We start from the raw sequence: 25,045 nt of genomic DNA, 5'->3' as shown, positions 1-25,045 counted from the left end.
TACGTATTAAGTTTGCCAAAATATCACCAATTTTTTAAACATTTGATGGCTTTTCTGTGGAAAACATCCTGAAACCAAGTCCTATGGAAAGTCTTAGAGGTCTTTTGAGGGCTGCGACTGCGTTTAATATTTATATTCCCATTTCCTGCTACTGCTCAGTACACATACCACATGCGAAGCACTTGCGCTCGTGTGAACCAAAGTGTATAGGGATTCTTTAATACGGTGGGTTTTTTTTTTCCTTCTTTCATAGTTAGGAAAGTCACAGAAGTTAATTGATTGGTATAAGCACTTAAACATTGTTCTGATTCTTACTGAGAATTCAGTATATTATTATTTTGGAAACAGTTTCAGAAGTTATCCTATCTTCCTTATTCTTGATAAATATTTTTAGTCTTTCTAGACAGGGTACACTTTTCAGTCAAAGTAGTTTCACCCAAAGTAACTGTACCCCTGTACTAATTCTATTACAGCCTCAATGTGGATTTTTTTTTATATGGGCACTTTCATGATGATGGAATGCATTTAACTAAATTAAGCAATATTTGTTAAATGACAGAAGTAGTTAAAAGAGGCCTCAACATGAAATAAATTTTACTTTATCCAAGATATAACTTCATTATCAAGCTCTATATTGTTGGACTGGATCCTTTAGAGGACTTTTTTAACCTTGGGAAAGGGATTTAGGCCACAAAAGCTGTAACTATGGTAAAGTGTAGCACAATACAGTACAGGCAGAACAACTTAGCAATGAATTGAGGTCTCTAGAGCCAGGTAGTGGCTACATTTAAATTAGTGATCCTCTTATTAGCTCCATAATCTTGGGCAAGTTACTTAGGTTTTGTGTGTCTCAGTTTCCTCATCTGTAAAATGGGGATACAATTGTGAAGATGAAAGGATTAAAATAAACAAGTTTGCTTAATAAACAAGTTTGTTAAAAGTGTTTATTTCACATAGTAGCTTCTCAATAACTCATAGCTATTGTTACTATGGGTTTTTGGTTTTTTGCTACATTTTACTTTATTTCATACATAAGGAAAACAACCAATTGACTAAGCAGTTCCAGAACTGCTGTGATAGTGTTCAGTAGTTAAGAAGAAAATGAGATCGGAAGGAAAACCTTTCATTTCTTCCCCAAATGTATATTGCCAGTATCACAGTAACTCATAACAACACATGTGACACAGGCTGATTTTCAACATAAAGAAAGCCCAAGCAAGAGGGGTGAGTATTCAGTTACATTTCTAGTACTCAACTGAATTGTATTTTTTAACTCCTTTTTTTTTTTTTTTTTTTTTTTTGAGACAAGGTCTCGCTCTGTCATCCAGGCTGGAGTGTAGTGGCACAGTCTCGGCTTACTGCACCCTCAACCTCCGGGGCTTTAGTGATCTTCTGCCTCCTACCTCGCCTCTTGCCTCACCACCAAGTAGCTGGGACTAGAGGCACACCCCACTGTGCCCGGCTATTTTTTGTAGAGATGGGGTTTTGTCATGTTGCTCAGGCTGGTCTTGAATTCCTGAACTCAAGTGATCCATCCACCTCAGCCTCCCAGTGTGCTGGAATTACAGGCGTGAGCTGCTGGCACCTGACCTGTAATTCTTTAACTTCTAAATAAAGAGCATGACAAGCTTTTTTTTTTTTTTTTTTTTTTTTTTTTTTTTTTTGCTTTGGTACTACTGAAGGCCAAAAATAATTTTATGGAATATATCTGTTCCCTTCCAATCAAAATCCACTTAATTTTTTTTCCTTTTTTTCCCTTGTATTATATTTCCAAGAAACTTATCTATTTATCTATTTATTTACTTAGCTGTTTTAGAGACAGGGTCTTGCTCTGTCACCCAGCCTGCAGCCTCAACTCCTGGGCTCAAGGGATTCTTCTGCCTCAGCCTTCCAAGTAGCTGGTTCTACAGGCTTTTGTGTCACCATGCCTGGCTAATTTTTTTATGGTTTTTTTTTTTGTTTTTTTTTTTGGTAGAGATGGGGTCTTGCTATACTGGCCAGGCTGGAATCAAACTCCTGGCCTCAAGTGATCCCTCCACCTTGGCTTTCCAAAGTGCTGGGATTACAGACATGAGCCACTATGCTCAACAAGCTTGTCTATTTAATGTTCTGACTTCATTGATTCTTTTGAAATATTATGCTGATTTTAGGGGCTGTGATGGAGCCATGAAAATATTACTTCTCAGTAAGCAATTTGAGTTTTAAATATTATTTATGATGAGTAATCATTAATTCTACTGTTATAAATTTTATAAGATACACTTAAGTAATATTGTTTTTATGAAAACTCTTCTGTATAAGCCATCTTATTGGTTAAAGTACAGAAAAGTATTTAAATATCTGATTTGGTCTTATTTATTAAACCTGTTTACCAGTTATGGGAAACTTTAAGGTCAGGTATTGTCAATTTATTCAGACTGGGGTTTAAGATATGAACAGTTAATAAAAAAAATAAATAAAAGAAGCTCATATTACCTAAAAATATGTTTCTAAATTCTTATGGTAGCATTAGTTTAGACTAAGTATCATGAGGGCATGGATTGCCTTGTCTATAAATTCATTTAACAAATGTCTACTGAGTAATTACTGTGTGCCTGGCACTCTTCTAAATGTTGGAAGTATGACAGCAGTGGACTTAATAGAAAATCCCTGCCCTGGTAAGATAGCATTTTCTTGTAGGTTATATTTGCAGTGATTGACATCACCTTGACCTTTAGCTGCCTCAGGCTGAGTACAGGGATGCAACCTAGACCTCTTACCTAGCCAGTTTCTGCTAGAGGTTACAAGTCAAGTTGTGCCAGGGAACTTCATATGTCCCCTCTATGAGTCAGTCTTTATAGATCTTGGGAATCTCTGGAGGATTCTAAGCATCAGAGTGAAATTTCGGTTCACCTAAAAAATGTAGCATCTATGCAATAAGTGTACTAATTTGACACCAGAGGGACTGTTTTTCTCTTTTAGTAATTTTGAATGTTGTAGTCTAAGTTGAATAGAAGAGAAAATTACTATAATCATATATCAACATTTTAAAGTAGATTTTTCATGTAGATGAAGGAAAGAACCTTAGAGATTCTGCCCTTTAAATTTTTTTAATGTTTTATTTTTGTTTTCAAGTACAGAATGGCCTCTTGTAAATTGGTGCCTGTGTTATTGATTTATTTTTATTTTTATTTATTTATTTTTGAGATGGAGTCTTGCTCTGTCGCCCAGGCTGGAGTACAGTGGCGCAATCTCGGCTCACTGCAACCTCCGCCTCCTGGGTTCAAGCAATTCTCCTGCCTCAGCCTCCCAAGTAACTGAGATTACAGGTGTGATGCCTGTGTTATTTTTAAATGAGGCAACTGAGGACTTTGCCCAAAGTCTCAATGCTAGCTGATGGTAGAGCCTAGCCTTCTGTTGCTTGGCCGTGTATTCTTCTTTCCTTTAGAAATAGAAATGTCCACCACTTAGTACAGTAATCCATTGGTACGGTGTCAAACTAAAAATTGGCTGTTTTATGAGTTTGTTTCTTGAACGTATTTTGAAATCTCTCTCTCTCCTGAATCCTCATAGTGCTATATATTACCTCCCCATGGCATTTATTACTTTCCACTCATATTGTAATTATCTTCTATTAACAAGATTTTTTTTAGATGAACTGTCTTTGAGAATAGAGTCTGTGTATGTTTCTTCTTTGTGTATTCCCCACAGCTCTTAACAGAATGCCTGGCATTCACTAGGTACTCAAATTATTAAACATGTTCTCATAGAGATTATATTTTGGGTTTGGTAACAATGTGAAACCACAGGAATCTATTTAGTCTACAACATTTTAAGAGGCTGTTTGGCTTACCATCAGATCTAGGTTTGAATTCTGGCTCCATCCTCATCTTGGCTGTGTGATCTTGAATAGGTCACTTAACATCATTTTCCTCATCTGTGAAATGAGAATATGTGCCCCATCTAGCTTTAAGATTTAGGTAAAATGTATACAAAGGGTCTAGTGCCTGATGTACTAATAGCTACTCAATGAATGGTAACTATTATTGTTAGAAATTTATTTTCTATTTATTATAAGTGCATTTTAAAATAACATTAAATAGCTCTATTACCTATGTGAAGGATGTACAGTAAGAAAAAGGTCCATGGTGAAAAGCTGACAGCATTTTGGTATGGTCAGCAGATTGCCCAGTCTGGGCTTTTTAGCTTACCAATTGCTTATTTAAGATGTTTGATTTGGGGCTCTTAAGAACTGGTTTACCATACTAAAACTCAAAGAGACTGATGTATAAACTAGAATGGAAGTTTATTAATAAGTCATTAAAAATGTATTCTCACATAGGAAAACAAATGCCACAGTGGAATCCAGATTGTAATCAGAAGCTTGCTTGAGGAAAAGGATAGTGGATTGGGTATCTGGTACTGCATTAATCTCCTGCATCAATCGTGACCTACCACTTAGCTGCGTCAGGACCCCTTCTCTTCTAGAGAGTGCTAAAGGCACTGCCTAATCACCTCTCATAAATCCCCTGTTCTAACTTACATAGTTGTCTGCTTTCGGGTTGCATGTTCTTAAAAGCAGACAGCAAAACCCTGGAGGAGGTTTTATACTTAGTCATTAGCCTGTCATTCCTGCTGGAGTTTTACAGCCTCACCTTAGTTGGATTTTGGGAGCTTAAACAGACTTCTAAAAATGTTTTAAATTTAAACTTTGTATTAAGTGTACAGAAAGTTTTAAGTATACAAAAACCTAAGGAGGATTGTATAATTAACCCCTATACATTCATCACCTGGCTTCAACAATTATTAACATGTGGCTCATATTGTTTTGTCTGTACTGCCTGCACCTCTCTAGATTATTTTAAAGTAAATTCCAGGTATCATATAATTTTACCTGTAAATATATGACTGTGTATTACTAAGAAATAAGGACTCTTAACACATCTTCAGTACCATTATCATATCAGAAAAATCACTTAATAATTCCTTAATATCTAATAAGTGATCACAGTTCCCCAGTTGCCTCATCAATGTCTTTTTTACTATTGGATTATTCAAATCAGCTTTCAAACATGGTCCACACATTATATTTGGTTGTTATGTTTGTGGATCTCTTTCAGTCTATAACAGCCTCCTTCCCCTCCTTTTCTTGCTGTTTATTTACCCAATTTGTCCTGTAGAATTTTTCACAATCTTTATTTGGCAGACTCATGGTATCCTTTAAAATGTTCCTCTGTTCTGTTTGTGGTGAACTTGTTGCTAGATCTCGGCATGCTGAGATTCAGGTTTTACTTTTTTTCCTCCCAAGCTATGTCATGGGTGGTGTGGTATGCTTCTTGCCTGTTGCGTTACACAGGGAGGCACATAGCAATGTCTGTCTTGCCATTTCTCTTTTTGTATGTTCAAGTTGATCATGGAGTTCAGTGTTATTAGCTTGATCCAGCCATTATGAAACGTATTCTTTCCTTCTTTCTTTCTTTTTTGAGATGGAGTTTCACTCTGTCACCAGGCAGGGGTGCAGTGGTGCTGTCTCGGCTCACTGCAACCTCTGCCTCCCGGGTTCAAGCGATTCTCCTGCCTCAGCCTCCTGAGTAGCTGGGACTACAGGCGTGCGCCACCACGCTTGGCTAATTTTTGTATTTTTAGTAGAGACGGGGTTTCGTCATGTTGACCAGGATGGTTTTGATCTCTTGACCTTGTGATCCTCCCACCTCAGCCTCCCAAAGTGCTGGCATTACAGGCATGAGCCACTGTGCCTGGCCAAAATGTATTCTTTCAATGAACTATTACATTTTGGGTCTTCTAATTTTATTCTCAAAGGGTACTTTGCTGTCAAATGTTATTGCCTTCTGATACGTTCTCTGTATGCAGCGAGAATGATCTTTTAAATATAAAATGGATTACATACTACCTACCTTGCTTAAAACTCAATAGTGTTCCATTGCTTGTAAACTGACATCTAAACTTCCTACCATAGTCTATAGGAATCTGCATAACCTGGGGTTTATCTGGCTTTCTAAACCTCATTTTATGCCATTCTGTCCTTTGAGAGGCAATGTGGCATTATTGTTAATAGCTTGGGCTCTTGTACTAGACTGGGGTTGGGGTGTGATCTTGGGTAGGTCACTAAACTGCTCTGTCCCTCCATTTTTTCATATCAAAAATTGATGTTCTAATAGTATTTACCAATAGGATTGTGATGATTAACACATATCAATAGCAATATTGTGATGATTAAATAATGAATATCAATCACCTACAACAATGCCTGTATAACATAACAAATACCTAATGTTAGCTGTTGTGGTTGCTGCTGGCGTTGATGCTTTGTTTTTTATGTCTGTGTTCAGCTACACTGTACTTTGCAGTTTCTGGACCTGACAAGCTCTTGCCAGCCTCAAGATCTTTGCACATTGTTCTCATTGTCTCTCTTGCAACATGACAAACCATCCCAAAATTTAGTGGCTTAAAAAAACAATTGTTTAGCTTACAAATGTGCAATTTTGGCAGAGTTTGTGAGAGAGAGCTCATCTCTGTTCCATATGGCATTGGCTGGGGTGGCTTAACTGAGGGCTGTGGGGTTTACTTTTAAACGGGTCACTCATGTGGTTGGCAAGATAGTCTTTACTCTTGGCCAGGAAGTCAACTAGGGTGGAGGTCTTGATTCCTCTTGATTCCTCTCCACAGGCTGCTTGTCCTTACAGCATGGTGGCTGGGTTCTAAGAGTGAGTATCCTAAGAGAAGCAGGCAGAAGCTGAATGGCCTAATACAATGTAGACTCAAGAAGTACACAGTGTTACTTTTGCCTCATTATTTTGGTTCAGGCAGTCACAAAGGCCCACTCAGGCTTAAGGGGAGAGAGCACATGGACTCTACCTCTTGATAGGGAAATAACAAGGTGTTCTAAAAGAGGGACAGGAGATACTGTTGCAGCCATCTTTGGGGAATGTACTTTGCCATACACATGCTGTTGCCTGAACCTGAAACACTATCATCTGTCAGATTCCCACTCTTTAGCAAACTAACCAACTTCAATTAGGTCCCTCTTTTTCCATTGCCTTTGTTTGCTCTCTTTCTCATAGCTCTTCATTTTCCTTGGTAACACTTACCACAGTTTGTAATTTTTTAAAGTCCATGGGTGTTATGACCTGTCATGTACTAAGTACCTAGCATTGGACCTGTTGAAATGTTAAAATGTGTTGTTACTTACAAATCTAAATATCATGTATTACATTCGCACTAAGGAAAGCGTGTTCCAAACTTTGTGGAAAAAAATGGAACAAATACACAGAAACACCAGGAGTCAGTCCTTTAACTCCTTAAAGTTCATGCCTTACTCTTTAGCTTAGGGTGAGGATGCGATGAAGAAAAACATATGTAAAAATGTTGGGGTGGGAGGAGAACTCAGTTGGAATAGCTGAATTTCTACTTACCCTCCCCATACTTTAAAAACCCAAACCCACAAATCTGTTTTCTATTCCTCTATCACCCCGTGCGTGGCAAGAAGCTTCTAGCTGGTCCTCAAAATATTTTTGTTGAGAAGAAAGCATGATAACTAAGAAATGTTTAGTACTCTCAGGGAATAGCCAAATATATTTACTTTACTCAGGGAAAGCAAAACACACCTTCACTCAGTACTAGTGTTTTTGTTTTGTTTTGTTTTGTTTTGTTTTGTTTTGTTTTACTTTTGACACAGTTCTAACAAGATTGGTTATCAGGTTTCTCAGCCCCCAGCAGACTGGGCAGGGAAAAGAGAATAGACTTTCGGAAGTGAGGTATAGATAATAGCAAAGAGAACAGCTGTTGTTGGCCTCAGGAAATACTTTTTCAAAACCTTGAGCAATGATGACATTGTAGCCTGGGAATTGTAGTAATGTGGGGTAGAAGGTCCCATACATTTTAAAAGAATTTCATTCACTTAACAGATATTGTGTGCAGTCTTGCTGATTGTTGGAGACACAAGGTGAACAAAATGCACATGGCCCCTGCCTTCATGGAGATTTCATTCTGGGGATGGGGCAGACCTTATGATTGATATTTGCGAGGTATATCTTTTTTCATCCTCTTTTAACCTATAGGTGTCTTTATATTTAAAATGATTTTTAAGGTGGTCTTCAAAATGGTTTTCTTATAAGCATCATATAGGTTGTTGCTTTATATACAATCTGACAATTTCTGCCTTTTATTTTTTATTTTTTTAATTTATTTTCTAAGAGACAGGGTCTTGCAGTGTTGCCTAGGCTGGACTTCAAATTCCTGAGCTCACCTCAGCCTCCCAGGTAGCTGGGACTACAGGCAAATGCCATGGCACCTAGCTAATCTCTGCCTTTTAATTGTGGGTGTTTAGATCATGTACATTTAATATTATTGATATGATTGGGTTTAAGTCTACCATCTTATGTATGTTCTGTTTGTTCCATCTGTTCTTTATTCCTCTCCTTCTTTTCTCTTTTGCATTACTTTAGATTGAGTGTTTTTTTATGATTTATTTCATCTCTTTTGTTAGCTTACTAACTATACCTTTTCTTTTTAAATGATTCTTTAGGGTTTATAGTATACATCTTTAACTTATCACAGTCTACCTTTAGGTGATCCATTTTACTACTTCATATATAATAAGAACCTTACAATAATACAGTTTTATCTCCCTGCCTTTGTTATTGTTATATATTTAATCCTAATGTTATAAACCCCACTTTTTTTTTTTTTTTTTTTGAGATGGAGTCTTGCTCTGTTGCCCAGGCTGGAGTGCAGTGGCATGATCTTGGCTCATTGCAACCTCTGCCTCCCAGGTTCAAGCAACTCTCCTGCTTCAGCCTCCCGAGATTACATGCACCCACCACCACACCCGGCTAATTTTGTATTTTTAGTAGAGACGGGGTTTTACCATGTTGGCCACTGTGGTCTTGAACTCCTGACCTCAGGTGATCCACCCACCTCGGCCTCCCAAAGTGCTGGGATTACCGGCGTGAGCCACCACACCCGGCCACTTTTTTTTTTTTTTTTTACTTAAACGGTCAATTATCTTTTAAAGAGACTTTTGCAATTAAAATATATATGTATTTACCTGCATATTTACCCCTTTTGGTGCTCTTCATTCCTTTGAGTAGATCCAGATATCTATATGGAATCATTTTCTTCTTCCTAAAACTTTTCTTTAACATTTTCTCATAGTCAGGTCCACTAATGATGGATTCTTTCAGCTTTTGTATGTCTGAGAAAATCTTTATTCCACTCTCCTGTTTTTAAGAGTTTTTTTTTTTTAAGGTAAAATTCACATAACATAAACCATTAACCATTCAAAAGTGCAATTCAGTGCATTTAGTACATTCACAGTGTTATGTAACCATCACCTCTATGTAGTTCTAAGACATTTTCATTACCCTAAATTCACTTGGGTAAATTCTGAAAGATGAAAGATGTTTTTTGCTGGGTAGAAAATCGTTAGGTTGACAAGTTTTTTTTCTTTCTATACTTTATAGATATTCTGTCTTCTTCTGGTTTGCATTGTTTCCAATGAGAAGTCAACTGCCATTCTTATTTTCAATTGTATGTAATATGCTCCATAACCCAAGACTGTGCTTAAGGTTTTATCATTGGCTTTAAGTAATTTAATTATGATGTCCCTTTGCCCTTGGCATAGTTTTCTTAATTTTTTTTTTGCGCTTGTGGTTTGTTGAACTTCTCAGATCTATGGCTTTATAGTAGTATCAGATTTGGACATTTTTTCAAGCAAAATTCTTAAAATAATTTATTTTGGAAACAGCTCTTGACCTGTTGTCGAGGCTGGAGTGCAGTGGCATGATCACGGCTCACTGCAGCCTCAACCTCCTGGGCTCAAGCAGTTCTTCCACCTCGGCCTCTTGAGTAGCTGGGACCACAGGTGTGAGCCACCATGTCCAGCTATTTTTTTTTTTTTAATATTTTTTTAGAGACAGGGTCTTGCCATGTTGCCCAGACTGGTCTTGAACTCCTGGCCTCAAGATTCTCCCACCTGAGCTTCCAAAAGTTCTGGGATTACAGGTATGAGCTACCACCTGGCCCAATTATTTTTAATCCTTCCCACTTTTGAGGACTTCAGTTGCATGCATATTAGGTTGCTTGAAGTTATCCCACAGTAATCAATCACATTAGTACTATATTTTTTTTTCAGGGTTTTTTTCTGTGCTTCATTTTGGATAGTTTTGATTTCTATCTTATCAAATTAACTGGTTTCCTTTTTTTTCTGTAATGCCTTATCTGCTTTTTATTTCATCCAGACATTTTCATCTCTAGAAAATTGATTTGGGGCTTTTTAATACGTTCAAGTGTAACTGCTTATGTCTTCGTCTACCTTATTGAACATGTAGACTGTAGTTTTAATAACTATCTTAATGTTCTTGTCTACCTGTTCTATCATCTATGTCATTTCTGGGTGTGTTTCTGTTTATTGAATTTCCTGCTCATTATGGGTTATGTTTTACTTATCCACTGAATGTTAGATATTTAGGATTTTATCTTATTGGGTGCTATTTTTGTATTCTATTATTTTTTATTTTTTTGAGACAGGGTGTCACTCTTGTTGCCCAGGCTGGAGTGCAGTGGTGTACCATGGCTCACTGCAGCCTCAACTTCCTGGACTCAAGTGGTCCTCCCACCTCAGCCTCCCAAGTAGCTGGGACTACATGTACACACCACCATGCCCAGCTAATTTTTTGTATTTTTAGGAGAGATGGGGTTTCACCATGTTGCCCAGGCTTGTCTTGAATTCCTGGGCTCAAGTGATCTGCCTGCCTTGGCCTCCCAAAATGCTGGTATTACAGGTGTGAGCCACCGTGCCCAGACTTATATTCTTTTAAATATTCTTGAGCTTTGTTCTGAGACTCAGTGAAGTTGATTGGAAACAGTATGATCTTTTCAAAGCTTACTTTTAAGCTGTGTTGTGTGGGACCAGAGCAGCCTTTTACTGTACAGCTAATTTTAGCTCATTACTGAGGAGATGCCTTTATGGAAACTTTACCCAATGTCCCATGTGCTCTCCCTTCTGGCTGAATGAACATGAACTGTTTCTGGTTTTATGTGAGTCCTGGGGATTGTTCTACTTGCTCTTCCTAGTGGCTCTTCTCTGGACTTAGACTGTCTTGACAAAGGTATGTACTGATCACTACTTAGCTGAAAACATGAGAGGAATCCTCTATAGATTTCAAGTGCTTTTTCTGTGCAGCTCACCTGTGTTCAGCTCCCTCCTCTTTAATACTCTGTCCTGCAAATTCTAGCTGCCTTACCTCTCCAAATTTTCAACTTTGTCTTAAACTCAGGGCTCTGTTATGGCTCCCTTCCCTGTGCTGTGGTCTGGAGCTCTCTCCAGTAAGCAAGAATATGTGTAGAGCAAGGTTGTTTCCTGCCTCTCAGAGATCACGGTGCCATGCTATTTATTGTGCAGTGTCTGAAAACTTGTTTCTTATATTTTGTCTAGTGTTTTAGTTATTTAAGGTGGAAGGATAGATCTGGTACTCCATAAATGTCTGGGGGTAGACTCTTAAAATATCACAGTTAAAAATAAAGTTGTAATTGTGACACGTGTCGTGAGGAGAGATAACTGGTGCTATGAGAGTGTTTATTTGGAGACTCTGAAAGTGCTGCCCAGTAATCATCCCATACCTAAGTGATGAAAGAAAAAGCAATTAAGAAGATGGAAAGTATGAAATGTAAATGTGTTTTAGATAGATCTGTATCATAAATGATTAGTAATCACTTACATAGACTATTGCTTTATATGGGGCAAATAAAGCATTGTGATGGTTGAAGAGTATCTTTTTGTACTCCTGTTTCTTTGCATCATTCTTTCATGACACATCACACATTGTAAGTTGATTATTTAGTAGTCTGCCTCCCCTCCCCACTAGACCATTAATTTGACAAGGCTAGGAACTATCTGCTTTACTTGCCATTGTGTCTAACACAAGATACAAGAGTAGACAGTCAATAAATATTGAAGGAGTGAATAAGATAATGAGACCATGTTTCATACTTGTGGGTTTTCAGTTATGAAAAGTTTGTTTGCATGAGCAAAGTTAAAATTCTCAGATTTTAGAAGGGCCTGGCCTAATCAAAGAAATAAAATATTTTCTAATATTTACATAAAGGTATAATAACTTACATGGGCATATGGCTGTCTTAGAGTGAGAAAATAGAATGTATTTTGCCAGCATGACACTAACAAAGATTTATAATTTATGAGATTTTGAGTTGGTCATTGAGTTATTCAGAAGCAAAGAAGAAATTTAAGTTTAGTTTCTATAAGTAGTGAAAAGTTATGGGCTTTGGAGTTAGTCTTGGATTTTAATCCCAGAAATACCAGTACTAGCTGTGACCTTTGACCAGTTACTTAAACTGCCCCCTCCTCCAACAAGTCATGTTATTATTTTTTAAATCTACTTTTATATCTTAGAGTTGTTTGAAATGTAAATGAGACTATATATATAAGGTGTTTACATGTAATAGGAATTCAACAAAATGTTTTTCTCCACCTTTCCCCCTACTTTTCAGGTGTTTTATTTTTGTAACAGTGCTGCTGCTTCTTCTGTTGTTGTTTTATTCTTTTTTAATTTTTCCTTTTGTTTCTGATTCTCTTGTTGAATTTCTTTTTTTTTATTCTTTTTACTTCTGAAACAGTGTTATTTCTAAATGACATGTTGGTTTGCTGTTTAGTGAAATGAGAAAAATAGACTTACTACTCAACTACGCTTGTTACTTTTGAACAATTGCTATAACTTGTCCCATGACAGTAATTTGTTATTCTTGAGCTTTAATTTTCATCAAATTACAGTGCAGTCGAAGATACCCAGTTGGCAAACATATTGCCTAAAATTGCTTTAATAAATATAAAGTTCCTTTTATTAAGATTTTATGCTGGTTTTCGGTAATTCTATCACTATTAAACATTCTTAATGAAAAAACACATATAATAGAATTTAGAATAATTTTAGGTGGTAGAGAGTTGATAGATTTTAACTGGATGATGGTTTTTATCACTATTACTGTATTAGTTTTCTATATCTACTATAAGAAATTACACTAACTTGGTGGCTTAAAACAACACACGTTCATTCTCATATGGTTCTAGAGGTCAGAAGTACGAAAGCAGTTTAACTGGGCTGAAATCAAAGTGTGAGAAGCCCACACTCCTTCAGGAGGCTGTAGGGGACAATGGTTCCCTTGACTTTTCTAGCTTCTAGAACTGCATTCCTGGTTCATGGCCTCTCCCTTCATCTTTAGAGCCAGCACATGGAATCTTCAAATCTGTATCTTCCTTCATCATATCACCTTCTGTAGCTAAATGTCCCTCTGCATCCCTCTTGTGAGGATAGTTATGATTACATTTGGGGCCCACTCGGCTAATCCAGGGTAATCCCCCCATCTCAAGATCCTTAACTTAATCACATCTGCAAAATCCCTTTTGCCAAATAAGGCAACATTCACAGGTTCTAGGTCTAGGTTTCTTTCGGGGCCATTATTCAGCCTTCTACATTCATTTGAAGGACCTATCAACAAATTCAATTTTTCAAATGTTAGTGTTTTTTATGCAGTCCTACATTTAAAAGTCTGTCAGTTTATTGAAGTCTTCTGTTGATTTTCCCTCTTCTGTTTACGGTTTTACTCAGTGAAGTTTGTTTTTCCTCCTGTGCCTGTGTCACAAATATTTAGTTGTGATGATTCAGAAGAAAAACCTACCTTAAAACTTGCGTCATTTTCAAAGAACTAATAATAAGTACTTTCTAAAATAGGCCATATTAAAATTTATTTTTATGGAATCCAGCTTTTCTTTTTTTGACGGAGTCTCGCTTTGTCACCCAGGCTGGAGTGCAGTGGCACAATCTCAGCTCACTGCAACCTCCACCTCCTGGGTTCAAGTGATTCTCCAGCCTCAGCCTCCTAAGTAGCTGGGATTACAGGCACCCACCATCATACCCGGCTAATTTTTGTATTTTTAGTAGAGATACGGTTTCACCATGTTGGTCAGGCTGGTCTCGAACTCCTGACCTCAGGTGATCCGCCCGCCTCAGCTTCCCAAAGTGCTGGGATTACAGGCATGAGCCATTGCGCCTGGCCTATGGTTGATTTTTGAGAGATTGGAATTATTTTGAATGACATCTTAAGGCAACTTAAGGTCATTGCACAAAGTGTGAGTTTAAAATGATCCAGGTTGTTTGACAAACACTTTAGTATTTTATTTATTTATTTTTTTGTATTTTAGTAGAGACGAAGTTTCACCATGTTGCCCAGGCTGGTCTCGAACTCCTGAGCTCAGGCAATCCGCCCGCCTCGGCCTCCCAAAGTGCTAGGATTACAGGCGTGAGCCACTGCGCCCAGCCTAGTATTTTATATTTCTAACTAAATTCTAAAGCTTGCTTTTGAACCATCCAGCAAAATTTTCATTGGCCAATTTAAGTTTTGGCATGTTACAGGCCCCTTTATCCTTCTATAATCTGAACACCATGCATAAAGGTATTATTTCTTATCAAGAGTTTCTGAAATGGAGTATAATAAGTGTTTCAATGCATGTAAGATGTGTTGGAGTTCTACAGCAAAGGCATATTGAAATCAGTACAGAACAGTAATAGAAAGAACTCTGATTTTGGAACCAGAAGATGTGGTTTCTAATCCTGACTCTTTAAATGCCTCGTTGTAAGTATGAAAATGGTCTTGTTAAAATGCCATTTCTGCTTCCCAAGACTAATTATGAATACAATTGATAGTCCGTGCAAAACTGAAAATAATAACTTATTGTACCAATGCAGACATTTTTAGCATTGTGTTATTCAGTCTGTGGCATACCTTTAGGTATGCCTTCATCATCTTCTATTGACATTTCTTACCAAGGAAGGAGAAAATAAAACCAGGATAATGATTGATTAAAAAAAAAAAAATCTTGTGAAGCATACTTACAACTCCTGGCTAAACTTAGATTTAGAATTTATCATGGACCTGTTTTCTATCTCCTCTTAGTTTTTATTACAATTTAAAGGTGGTTGTGCTGAAGCATCCATGTCATTGTCTTCTCTCAAATTTCAGGTATTGGCTCTCAAAAACTGTCAGACATTTCAGAAATTTCCCTAGACTCTTGTCCAAACATGAACATTTTTAAATGACAATTGATTAGTTGTATCGATTACTCTTTAAATGTTGGATAATCCGAGAACCTCCCTGTTCAATTTGAACAGATTGTTTTGTAGCAGAATGCTGCTGCCTTTCAAGTTTGTGATCTAAAAAAAATCCATATCCAATGGCCTCATATCCAGCCAACAGAAGGGATAGTGGAGGAAGATAGAACTTGTGAATGACAAAAGCTCAGCCCATGCTGGCCAAATTACCATGGAAAGAAAAAAATCTCTTCCTCTTGTAGGAAGTAAATGGTAAATCTGAACAATGAGCTTAAAGACACTTAAATTTAAAAGGTATAATAATAACAAGTGTTTTACCCAGTAAAAGCAAATTGTCCAATAAATAGTTTCCGGATTATAACTAATTCTTAACGTCAGCTTGGAGGAAGTCCTAGAAATACGAAAAATTACAGGTGAGGCTAGACTGCTATGATGCTATGATATATCTATTGTTTTTTGTCCACAGTTCCTGGCTCATAATTTTCATAGTCTTTGTTACAGACTCTATAATGTTATAATGTTGGGGTGCTTTAGGCCTCAGAAGCAGGTCTCAGGAAACAGAATTTCTCTCCGACCTGTTTTTTGTCCTTCTTTTACTTACTCAAGGCAGGACTCTGATCTGATTGTGAGTCAAAGATCCCCATTTCAGAGAGGGTCCTACCCCATACTCTAGAGAAGGAATGTGCACAGAAAGGCCAGAAAAATCTGAAGAGACAGGCCTCGTTGGGTTTTTTCAATCAGTTTATTAGCATTAAATTATACCTTTTTTGTCCAATCACATTTTGACATGGTTGTCGATGCTTCATTCATGTCTATCCAGTGAAGTCTCCATAAAAGGCCCAAGATAACAGGGTTCGGGGAGCTTCTGGATAGCTAAATGTGTGTGGAGGTTCCTGGAGGACAGCATGCCTGGAGAGAGCCTGGAAGCTTCACACCCTTTCCCCCATACTTTGCCCAACACATTTCTTCATCTATATTCTTTTTAATATCCTTTATAATAAACCAGTAAACTTAAGTGTTTTCCTGAGTTCTATGAGCTATTCCAGCAAATTAATCGAACTCAAAGAGAGGGCAGTAGAACCCCAACTCAAAGCCAGTTGGTCAGAATTTCTGGAGACCCAGACTGGCAACGGGTGTCTAAAGAGAGGGCAGTTTTGGGGGACTGAGCTCTCAGCCTGTGCGATCTGACACTATACTATCTCCAGGTAGAGTGTCAAAATTAAATTAGAGGACACCCAGCTGGTGTCCACTGCACAAGTGATTGCTTGTTGGTTGGTGGGGAGAAATCCCCCACGTTTAGTCATAGAAGTCTTCTGTTTGTGTTCATTGTTGTGGTGTGAGGGAAAAAATAAACATGGCTTGAGTTCGTTTTTTTTCCACTCAGAATTGTTTTCTTAGAACCCTTTCATTTTCATCATTTCAATTGGAAGAGATGTGGAAAGGAGGAGAGATGAGCAGTGCCATCAATGCAGATGGTAGATTCCTGAGCAATGTTGATGACTGGATTCCTATTTATATAGTATTTGGGGGCTTTATGCTATTACTGTTGTCAGGTATAATATTTCAATAACAACGGTGAGAGAACTGTGAAGAGCATGGTACTAGCATCCAGAGTAAGTGACAAGTTATTGATATATCTTCATAATTGTCTCTTTACTGAATTTTATTGACAGTGGGATAGTACAAGCAACATAATTATGATTGCTGTTAAGCACTTTTAAGGGTACCTGAGTGTTTTCATGAGGTGTATATATGTGCACTGATAACACTTTTATCTGTATTTTGAAGACAGTTTGTGCTGTAGTACTTGATTGGAGTGATAGTGTGGTTTGGAAGGCTCTGAAAACTTACTTTCAGTCATTACAATTATCCTAGTTCTTGAGTCTTCCTTCTGCAAGGGAAAATAATCTGTATTTTGATAGAATGATCCCACTTCTATAACAGATTACAAAATAATAATAGTGTTAGCCTGTTGAGGCTTAGAGACTAGAAGTTGGTTATTCATTCCAAAGCATCTCATATTTGCTTTAGACATTGGCTAGATTTTATCACATGTGGTATTCTGAGAAGGATGACATGATAGAATATTTTGATAAAGTATGAGGCTCAAAAATACCTTCTGCTTTTCCCCTGCTGTTCTTCTCACCTGGATTTGGTTTCTTGCAGGTGCAAAAAAAAAAAAAAAAAAAGTCTAAGAATTTAATTTTTTCAGCATTTATTGAACACCTTGCATGGGTCAGGCATGAGTTTGGTGACAGCGACGAACTGTCAGGTTTAGATGATAAAATAATTATTCTCCCATCCAGTGACTCAGTATAAGATAAAGATACGGGCTCTAGAGCCAGACAGTGTGCCGGCTCTATAATGTGTCATCTTGAGCAGTTATATACTGTCTCTATGCTTCAGGTTCCTCATCTTCAAAAGGGGGATGGGATAGTAATCATTTCATAAAGGCTGAGAGTTCAGTAGCACAGGCACAGTGCTTAGAACAGTGTCTGACCACATGTTAAGCTCTTTAAAATGTTAATTATAGCCAAAGAATGTACCACATTTTATAGGTTTAGGCCTTTGTCTTCAGATTTAGGAGTAGCATATTTAAATTTCTGAGTTTGAATTATGCAGCCTGTGGCTTCCCTCCTTTGGGACAAATGATGGAAGTTGTTGTTGAGTAATTTGTAATTTGTGTGCTCAATTTATAAAAGGAAAATTGCTGAGACATCACATAATTCCAACTGCAGAAGTTTAGAAACTGTCATCAGCTTTTTTCCTGTCACTATTACTTTTTTGACTCTATCAATTTGAAGCTATTCAGTTTTCATTATACTAGATCTGTAACCTTTCAGTTTCTGCAGAGAATTTTTAATATTTTGTAAAATCAGGAACAAGGTAAAACAGGATAGTTGAAGACACATTGTTGAAAAGAAAAAGATGAACAGATGTAGCAGGAACCTGAGATGAGATCATTATGAGAGTAGAAAACAATCTAACTGAGTTTCTTGGCAAATGAGTGAGGAGTGTATTGAGTTGTAGTCTTGTTTGGGTGTAATAGCAAACAGATGATTTTTTTGCCTAGCACTGTCATTAAGATACTGAGTGGGTTGATGATCCAATGGGAGTTTATTTTATCTGTTAAACAATTCAAGGGAGAACTTTAAATCTTAATTCAGTGAAGGCATCTTTTAGGGAATTGAGATAATCAGAAATTTGCTGTCTCACTATATTACTAATACAGGGGGAAAGAATTTAGTCTTAGAAAGTTTAGAAAGGCCAGGAGCAGTAGCTCATGCCTGTAATCTCAGCTTTTTGGGAGGCCAAGGCAGGATGATCCCTTGAAGCCAGGAGTTCTAGATCAGCCTGAGCAACAAAGTGAGACCCCGTCTCCACAAAAAAAAAAAAAAAAAAAAAAAAAAATTTTGGTTGGGCATGATGGTGCACACCTTTAGTCCCAGCTACTTGGGAGGCTGACTGGATAGGATCACTTAGCCTAGGAGTTTGGGGCTGCAGTGAGCTATAAGCCATGAGCATACTACTGCACTCCAGCCTGGGAGACAGACTGAGAGCCTCTCTATTTTTTTCTTTTTTAAAAAAGAAAATTTAGAATAGTTAATAGGCTCCAAAACAAATACTTTTGCTATTTCTGCCAAAGTACCTAAATAACAGAAAAGAGTAAATACATTTAGGATATACTGGTGGTAGGATAGTGTCAAATTTTTTTAATGTTATGGTGTAACTTAGAAATTTACATGAACTTTGCATTTTTCACCATAGTCTAGCCATACTTAGTATTGGAATAAAGTTTTTAAAATTATTGCCATGATGTGGAATTGCTGCAGGGTGATATGCTATGCTCATGCTGTTGTTTGTAGTACCTTTCTAATTAGTATTACCACTCCTCTCTCTTTTCTTAAGAAATAAGACTAACTTGTTCTTCTCAAATGTCTCAAAAGAGCCCTTGATTGAGATTCTAGAACTCTTTCATATAATGAGAGGCTGTTTTTGATTAAGAAAGATTTAAGAGTAGGTATTACCACTTTGTCCAGACTCCAGGGCATGAATTTTAAAAGAACTGAAAATAACTGGTTCTTAAATGGTTGGATGAGGCAACTGAAATTGGAGTTCTAATATTAATATAATCCATTTGAATATTGTGGAATGTCTGCCAAATACAAAGTCTTTAGTACAAGGGTGTCCAATCTTTTGGCTTCCCTGGGCCATATTGGAAGAGGAAGAATTGTCTTGGGCCACACATAAAATACACTAACGATAAATGAGGAGCTTAAAAAAACAAAAAAAGAATCACAAATGTCTGATAATGTTTAAGAAAGTTTACAAATTTGTGTTGGGCCACATTCAAAGCTGTCTGGGCTGCATGTGGTCCACAGGCTGTGAGTTGGGCAAACTTGCTTTAGTATTTGCTTGCTTTTTCTATTTATCATTTGGTTGGGCTATTATTTATCTGTACTTGTTTAGTTAAACCATCGTCTTTTATGCTGTGGTGGTTGGAGAACCAGTTAGGAATTTTTATCTAGCTTTAGATGATTGGCTTCCTTAAAGTTGATATTTATGGGATCCCTCAGGGCAAGCTTGCTGGTTCACAATTAAAGCTATATTGGTAGTTAAAGATTACTTGTGTAGGATAACTTGTGTAGAATAACTATACTGCAGAGATAATTCTGAACAGACATAGTTGATGGCAAAACTTGGATCAGTTGGAAGTTTGTGGCTGATTTCTTTTGTAAGAAACATTCTCTGGACAACAGTATCCGCAAATCTGTTTGCTAGGTGAATCTAATATCACTAGGGCTGTAATTTTTTTTTTAATTAAAAACATTTTTTTTAGAGACAGGGTCTCACTCTGTTGCCCAGGCTGGAGTATAGTGGCACAGACATAGCTCATTATAACCTCAAACTTACGGGCTCAAGCGATCCTCCTGCCTCGGTCTCCTGAGTAGCTGGGACATAGGCATGTACCATCGTGTCTGGCTAACTTTTTTTTTTTATTTTTAGTAGAGACAAGGTCTCACTACGTGGTCCAGGTTGGTCTTAAACTCCTGGGCTCAAGTGATTCTCCTACCTCAGCCTCCCATTCCTGGGAATACAAGCATGAGCCACCACGCCTGGCCTAGGGCTCTGTAGTATTTTTAATTGGTATTTACTTTGTTAAAAAATGTAAATCATGTCATATTCAGTAAAGTGCACAAATCTGCAGCTCAATGAATGTTTACATATGTATTTATTTAAGACAATATTCCACTAGCTGTGTATTTAAAAGCAAGCAAATTCATTGGATTAAAAAAGTATTTGCTTAAAAAATTTTTTTTCTTATAAATATATGTTCACATAGAAAATTGAGATAAGAAAAAATAAGTCACTTGTAATTCCACCATCAAGAACTCTAAACATTTTGGTGTATAAGCATTCATTCATTTACTATTATTTTCTGAATATCTAATATGTGCCAGAAATTTGAGATGCTGAGGATACAGCAATGATTAGAACAGTCAAAATCCTTGCCTTTGAGGAGATTATACTTTACTTGGGGGAAAAGGACAATATATAAGAAAGTATATTGTGTGTCAGATGGTGATAAGTACCATGGGGGAGAATAAAAGAAATAAAGGGAAGAGGGAGTCCTGGAAGGGACTGCAATTTTTACATAGAGTGACCAAGAATGGCTCTACTTGAGAAGGTAACATTTGAGCCAAGACCTGGAGGAGACAAAAGAACATGCTGGGCAGACCTGAAGGAAAAGAGCACTCCAGGCAAAGGCCTTGATGGGGGCAGTGCCTGGCATGTTTGAGAAACATCAGGAAGGCCACTGTGGCTGGAACAAAAGAGGGCAAGGGACAAATGAAGTTAAGACAGGGAGGAGGGGATTGTGTCCTCTAGTTGCTCTCCCTCCTGGCTGCACATGAGAATCACCTTAGAGGCTCTTGAAAACCACTGATGCTGAGCTCCCCACCCAGGCCACGGAAGCTGATTTCTAATGTGCAGCCAGGGTTGAGAAACACTGGCACAAGGCCTTTAGGCCATTTTTTTCTTTCTTTTTTTTTTTTTTTTTTTTTTCTTTGAGATGGAGTTTTGCTCTTATTCCCCAGACTGGGGTGCAAATGGCATGATCTCGGCTCACTGCAACCTCTGCCTCCCAGGTTCAAGAGATTCTCCTGCCTCAGCTTCCTGAGTAGCTGGGATTATAGGTACATGCCACCATGCCCGGCTAATTTTTTGTATTTTTAGTAGAGACGGGGTTTCACCATGTTGGTCAGGCTGTCTTGAACTCCTGACCTCAGGTGATCCGCCTGCCTCGGCCTCCCAAAGTGCTGGGATAGCATAGGCATGAGCCACCGCTCCTGGCCTCCTTTAGGCCATTTTAAGGACTTTGTATTTTACTGTGAGTGAGATGGGAAGCCATTGGGGAGTTCTGAGGAAAGATCTACCTTATGTTTTATTATTTTAAAATTATATATTATTGAATGTTCCAGATATACAGAAAAGGACTCACCATCCAACCCACTTTAACAGCCATCTGCATTTTGTCGTGCTTGCTTTATCCTGCCTCCCCACCCCACTTTTTTTTTCCTAGAGTATTTCAATGCTAGGTTGAGTTTTTAGAAGGATCATTCTGGTGTCTGTGTTGAGAGAAGGAGTGGCAGAGCAAGGGCTGAAGTAAGTGTATCCTCCATGTATTTTTTTCCTTAGGCTTTGTAGACATGTTTTTATACAGTATCCACTTATTTATAAACTGTTTTCTTTATTATATAGGACATTTTATGTCACTGGATATGCTACAACTTTGTTTTCTCATGGCTATATAGTGGCTTTTGATATGCATTGCTAAGGTGTTTTTCAGAAAGACTTTACTAATTTATACTCCCACCAGCTGCTTTGGAAAGTGTCAGGTTTCCTTAAGTTCTCACTAACATTGAATTTAATGACTAACATTGAATTTAGTCATTAAAAAATTTCTATGTTGACAGGTAAAAAAAGACAACTCATGGTTTTAATTTTAGTTCTTTGATGTCCACTAGGTTTATTTCTATTTTCATTTGCATTAGAAACTAGGCTTATATCATTTGCTAGCTGTGTGACTTTAAGTCACTCAGGAGTGCTGTTTTCATACTATAAGATGGGTGTTGTGTATCTGCTTCACAGAATTTTCATTAAGGTTAAATAGAAGCATTTTTTATGCCCAGGTCTTTAAATCTTTTGGCCATGATCTGCAGGGGGAAGAAAATGCATCTTACATTGTGACAAGCATATATAAATACGTGGCTGAAAGTTTCTTGGAACAAGATATATGTCCTCACCATGTATGATGCACTTCTGATATTGTACATTTTCATTCACTTTTAAAAATACCCCTTGTTGACCAGTAGATTGATCATGACTCCCTGGATTGTGACCTAGGGTTTGAAAAACACTGTAGTAAACTTGTCTTGTTAAGATGCCCGTTTATCTATAGGATTCCCTCTCTCAGGTAGCTCAGAAGTCAGTCTCCCTCTACCTCTAATAAAATTCACTTTCAGGAAAGCTAAATAGGGAAAAGGCCTCCCACTTAGATTATTGTATTCCTGTATTATATTTTTGGTCAGTGAAAAATGTTAATTGCTTTTCACAGTCAGAAAATGTATTTGGGTTTCTATGATGCCATGGTGACTGGGTTGTATTAACACTACTTTTATGAAATAGAGCTAATGCATCTAAGCACAAACACCACATCACTACAGGGATTATATTTGCAAAACCCAAAATTGAGACATTATCTGACAAAAGAGTTTTGTCTATAGTTTTTGTTACGTGAAACGCTGACAAAATTTGAAAGTAATGTGGGGCGAGGTAGCTTGTGTCCAATGTCCCAGCGGGAGGCTGAGGTGAGAGGATCCCTTGAGCCCAGGAGTTCAAGTTAGGCCTGGGCAACATAACCCCATCTCTTAAAAATAAAAAAAAAAGGCAAATTATAAGTCACATTTAATTATACTTAATATAGCCCCTTTTCAACAGATAAAAATAAAATAATATGAAACCTGGATAATCTTGGGAAATTGAGACTGTATGACTACCATACATAAAATAACAGATGTGCTATTCATTGGTAGGCTTATAGCTAGATGACTCGAGGACCATGTAGAAAAGACTTAGCTGTAATTAGTACCTGTGACTAGACAAAACTTGATCAAATGAAAGTTAGAGTCACTTCCAAGTCTGAGGGATGTTGGAAAGAAAAATGCATAGAGAAAGAGAGTGGGAATTTACTGCTTGAAAAACACTCAGGAGTTTAACTTATTTGGCAATAGAATTGTGTTATTTTTGACGTCTAGTTTAACATTAAATATGTTTTGTGTAAATTGTTTTTTGACGCTGAGCCAGGAAAACATTTTAAGCAGCTCTAAGTTAAAAGTTTGACTAACATGCATTTACTTACTCCTCCATTACCTCCACCAGCTCACCCTTTCACAATGGAGTAATTTAGAGGAGTATCAGAAACACTTTGGTATGGAAAAATAGAACCTAAATTTTATACCAAAGGACCATAATTTACCTTTATGTGGTTAGAATTGGATATATGAGATGTCGTTTGAGTACTGAATTTTAGATTCTGTCTTTTTCACTATTGGAGCTAAAATAAGGTTTTAAACAAGCTCAGAAATGAGTATAGCAATTTGTTGCGCTCAGATGGCCCAGAAATACATGAATAGCTGCTTAAGCTCTCTAGTGATCAGGCATATGCAAATTGAAACTACAGTGAAATACCATTTCATGTCCAAAATTGGCACAAATTAAAGATGTTACGTGGACATTACCAAATGTTAGGAGAGTGTAGTATAAAACTAATGAGTGTAAATTGGTACAGGTGCTGTGACCTGTACCAATACCCTATGACTAGGAATTCTGCTTCTAGTGTATCTCTTGTGTGCGTGCACAAGAAAACATACAGGAACATTGTTTGTAATGCTATTTTGTAACAGTGCAAAAATGAGAACTACTTATATGTCTGTCGATAAGGAAATAGCTACAGAAAATATTGTCTAGTCCAACGTTCTCCACTAGAAATATGATGTGAACAACATATGTTATTTGAAATTTAGTTTTAAGGTTCTAAAAAGGAAGTCAAAATCAATTTTTATATATTTTGACACAGTTTATCCAAAATGCTATCTTTTTAAAAGTGATTAATGTAAAAGTCATGGAGATACATTACATTTTTTAAAAAAATACTAAGTCTTTGAAATCCATTATGTATTTTGCATTTAGAGCACATCTCAATTTGAATGTTAAATGTTTATTGGAAATACTTGATCTGAATTTAAATTTCATAAAATTTCTGTTGGAAAAAGTAGATTCACATACCCAGGTTGTTCCATATATATTTAAAAGCTTTTCAGACACTGAACTGAGTATCAGATAAAGTTTAAATTAATTCACTTTCTCAGTTGCACCAGCTGAATTTCACATGCGTAGTGGTCAGGTGGCTAGTGGCTACCATACTGGATAGTGTAATTCTAATCATAACATGTATTGTTATGTGGCAGTTAAATGACCTAGGCTGGGCATGGTGGCTCATACCTTTAATCGCAGCACTTTAGGAGGCCGAAAAGTGAGAGGATCGCATGAGCCCAGGAGTTTGAGACCAGCATGGGTAACAGTGAAACCCCATCTCTAGAAACTAAAAAAAGCTGGATGTGGTGGTGCACGCTCATCTGTAGTCCCAGCTACTCTGGAGGCTAAGGCAGGAGGATCGCTTGAGCCTGAGAGGTCAAGGCTGAAGTGAGCTCTGATCGCACCACTGCACTCCAGCCTGGGCAACAGGGCAAAACCCTGTCTCAAAACAAAACACCGGCCTATATTATATAAAGTAAAATGTGGCCGATTATTCAAATTTTGCATTGTCAATAAGAACTAGAGAAGTGCTGTGACGTTTTATT

The 25,045-nt window shown here is 37.4% G+C and overlaps 1 protein-coding gene and 1 long non-coding RNA gene across 6 annotated transcripts in view, besides 1 other annotated feature; both read left to right on the top strand.

Annotated features, from left to right (window-relative positions):
- HOMER1 (homer scaffold protein 1) overlaps positions 1-25,045 on the top strand; it is a 141,499-nt gene that overhangs the window by 21,395 nt on the left and 95,059 nt on the right. The window contains exon 1 of one of the 5 annotated variants that reach the window (XM_047417894.1): positions 2,552-11,108. The exons of the other annotated variants lie outside the window; for them this stretch is intronic. The gene's annotated coding sequence lies outside the window, so the exon portion shown is untranslated. Of the gene's footprint in view, positions 1-2,551; positions 11,109-25,045 lie in introns of those variants that run through there. 5 annotated transcript variants of the gene reach the window in all.
- Positions 760-24,731, top strand: LOC107986426 (uncharacterized). The gene is made up of 3 exons (XR_001742758.2): positions 760-774; positions 1,819-1,823; positions 17,449-24,731. It is a non-coding gene; the product is annotated as an uncharacterized LOC107986426 (long non-coding RNA).
- Positions 7,200-7,494: an enhancer, noted in NCBI's record as "tiled region #1837; K562 Activating non-DNase unmatched - State 24:Quies". NCBI's record gives its function as "activates a minimal TATA promoter and a strong SV40 promoter by Sharpr-MPRA in K562 cells {active_cell/tissue: K562}" and the evidence as "EXISTENCE:reporter gene assay evidence [ECO:0000049][PMID:27701403]".

Source organism: Homo sapiens, chromosome 5, assembly GCF_000001405.40.
Source record: "Homo sapiens chromosome 5, GRCh38.p14 Primary Assembly".
In the NCBI taxonomy this organism is placed as follows: Eukaryota; Metazoa; Chordata; class Mammalia; order Primates; family Hominidae; genus Homo; species Homo sapiens.
Note: the sequence above shows the minus strand (reverse complement) of the source record. Positions and strands in the feature narration are given on the sequence as shown.